Genomic DNA, 2690 nt, shown 5'->3' with positions numbered 1-2690 from the left:
GAGCACGTCTGCAGCTACCCTGAGAGAACTCTTGTTCTAGAATTTGGAACCGATTAAATTAGGCTTCAAAGGACACAAACACGAAAGACCCCGGGATAGGCTTTGCCACACCAGGCCATGTTTCTAAGGCAACCCTGGGCTGCTGGTTTCAGAGGAGGCTGAGCCAGCAGCCAAGGCTCAATTCCCCGGGAACCAAGGCGCTGGGCAGGAGGGGCTGCCAGCATCCGGGCTCCATTCGCCCTTGAAATCCAAAAGAGACAAGCAACTACCCTTACAGACTTCCTCCCATATGTCCAAACTAGCCTCTGTATGGATAAATTGCATCCTTCCTTTGGTAGCATTTTGTTCTTCTAGGTCTGCAGAGCCTGCAGAATGAGACTGCCAATCCAGACATGCGGTCTGAGCCTGCAAACCATCCCCAGGGACAGAGAAAAGGCAGGAGGGAGGGCGAGCCAGAGATGGCCAGGGGACAGGCACAGCCTAGGGCTGGGTTTCTGGCCCAGGGCCTCTCTTGCACTGTGGACACCCACATGCGACCATGTAGTGGCATCTCCACCTGTGCGCCCTGAAGACCACACGCCCCACTTAACTTACGGGTGGTCCCGGTCAGGGCCCCTGACTCACTGCACCACACCATCTTGAACACTTAGCCCGAGCCAACGTGGCCTCCCCAGGAGCCGACACGGCCAGTTATACAGAATTCCTTCTTGTGTCTCTTTAATGACAGAATTCCAAGCTGCTTCGGAATCACAATATGGCCGGGTAAAGATTCCCGTTTGCCTAGGGCTTGGCGGAGTGAGGTGGCCGTGAAATAGCCTAGCCAATGATTTTTACGCCAATGCCCCTGAGGAGGGCGCTGCTTCTAGAATAAAAGGAAGAGTCCCCCCAGAAGGAGCCCCTCCTTCTCCTTCCGTTCTGTGTCCTCCTAAACCTAAGACCTCGGAAGGCGGGGGCCATCCTGCACCCTGGGGCAGCTGGCGTGAAGCAAAAGGCTTCTGGGGACCACGGTGTGTGAGGATAGGGAGGGCCGGGTCCCCAGGGCCTTGCTGCCCCTCCGCGCCCACACCTAGGCTCCGACCTGAAAGTCTCACTGCACAGAACCCACTCATGCTGTCTGTGGAAGCCCCGCGCTTGGATATCATGTTCTGGGGTCCGAGGACACCCTCGAGTGCGTCACCCTCATCCTCACTCTCCTTGCGCAATCCCAGTCTGTCAGTTCCAGCCCCTGTTCCCATCCTGGCTTCTCTGTGTCAACCTTCAGGACCATAATTCAGCAGCCACCTCACCGTGTGGGTCTTTACCCGTGCCCCTCCCTGCCATGAAGTCCCAAAATGCAGATCTGATCCCGGGGTTTCTCCTCTTCAGGGCTCCCCGCCCTCAGCCCCACTGGCCTGGTGGCCTGGTCCGTTCACCTGAGGGCTGGGCTGAGTGTCTCCCCCAGGGCAATCTTTCTCCCAGGAGCACGTGCTACTTGGCAGGGCAGCTGCGTCTGCACCCGGCCTGCGTGGTTCCCAAAGCCTGCGCAGTTCCCCGGGGTTCCCTTCAGGCCGCACACTCCTGCAGCCGGGAGGTCGGTTTGGGCGCCCTTCTCAGCCTCATCTTCCTCATCCAAAAAGTGCTAACTGTGGTACCAAACCCTCAGGGAAGTCAGCGTGGCTTAACCAGAGGACACGCGTTTCCTGTCGCGCTCTGTGTGTGGAGGATGTCAAAGGGGACTCGCGAGGGCAAAGGGGACGCATGAATCAGCACAGGAAGCACTTCATTATGAAAGATGCCTTCAGCTTTAGATCATGAGGCATTTTTCCTCCAGAGGAAAGGGAGTGATATGCTGTGGAGGAAGAGATAGCAAATCGGTGATTAACGATGCAGACAGATTCAGTCCCAGGCTTGCTGCTCACAGGTCCGGGGAGGATCCACAGGCCGCATCCTCCTGGCCGCACTTACCACCAGGGAAGCGGGTGACACACTGCCCGCCTGCCAGACAGTTCAGAGACACGGTCAGGACCCATTGCTACGATGGCTTGCAGAACTGAGACACTCAGAAGAAACCAGTCACCGGGACAGACCACAGCTGGCGGTGCCCCGCACCCCGCCGCTCCCGGCACTGTCACAGGAGGGCGCCAGGGCAGAGCCCTGCACCTGGGTGCACTACGCCTTTCGCGCACCAAGAAACTGCCCACAAGGTGTGGGCCCGCAGGTGCGGCCACGACTGCTGCAAACAAAACAAGGCTTCCAGACACACTCCCAACATTCAAAACTCAAGAACCCTTTGTGCTGTCTGCCCCATCACTTAGGAGGGGGAGTTGGCAGGGGAGAGGGGGAGGCAAGAATGAACCGTGTTTGATTGTGCATCCGCTATGTGTAATAGAGACTTTAAATTCCATGTAATGTTAAATTATAATTTTTCCAACTCAATGAGTTGATTCCATCAGAAACTAGTTCTGATGTGTGTGGCTTTTAAATCTAAGACCACTGCAGCGAAGTGAAAAAGACACCGGCAGTGTCGTCTGGTTTTGACTCTGAGATCTAGCCAGCTCAGAGTTGCAGTGCTGCTTCCAGAACCTTCTTCCCATCACAGCCAAGAGCCCAAGAGTCCTGCATCAGACTAACAGGCAAGGTGGAAATAAAGCAAGCCCGGAAAGGCAGCTACTATGTTAAGCTATGGAAGGGGAGACCAGTGCTGGTGATGT

General features: G+C 56.2%; 1 annotated feature.

The window, feature by feature from the left end:
* Nucleotides 2181-2240: an enhancer, noted in NCBI's record as "active region_16516". NCBI's record gives its function as "activates an Ori minimal core promoter by ATAC-STARR-seq in GM12878 lymphoblastoid cells {active_cell/tissue: GM12878}" and the evidence as "EXISTENCE:reporter gene assay evidence [ECO:0000049][PMID:35858748]".

This window comes from Homo sapiens, chromosome 2 (genome assembly GCF_000001405.40).
Source record: "Homo sapiens chromosome 2, GRCh38.p14 Primary Assembly".
NCBI classification, from domain to species: domain Eukaryota; kingdom Metazoa; phylum Chordata; class Mammalia; order Primates; family Hominidae; genus Homo; species Homo sapiens.
This window is presented reverse-complemented; position numbering and strand designations above follow the sequence as displayed.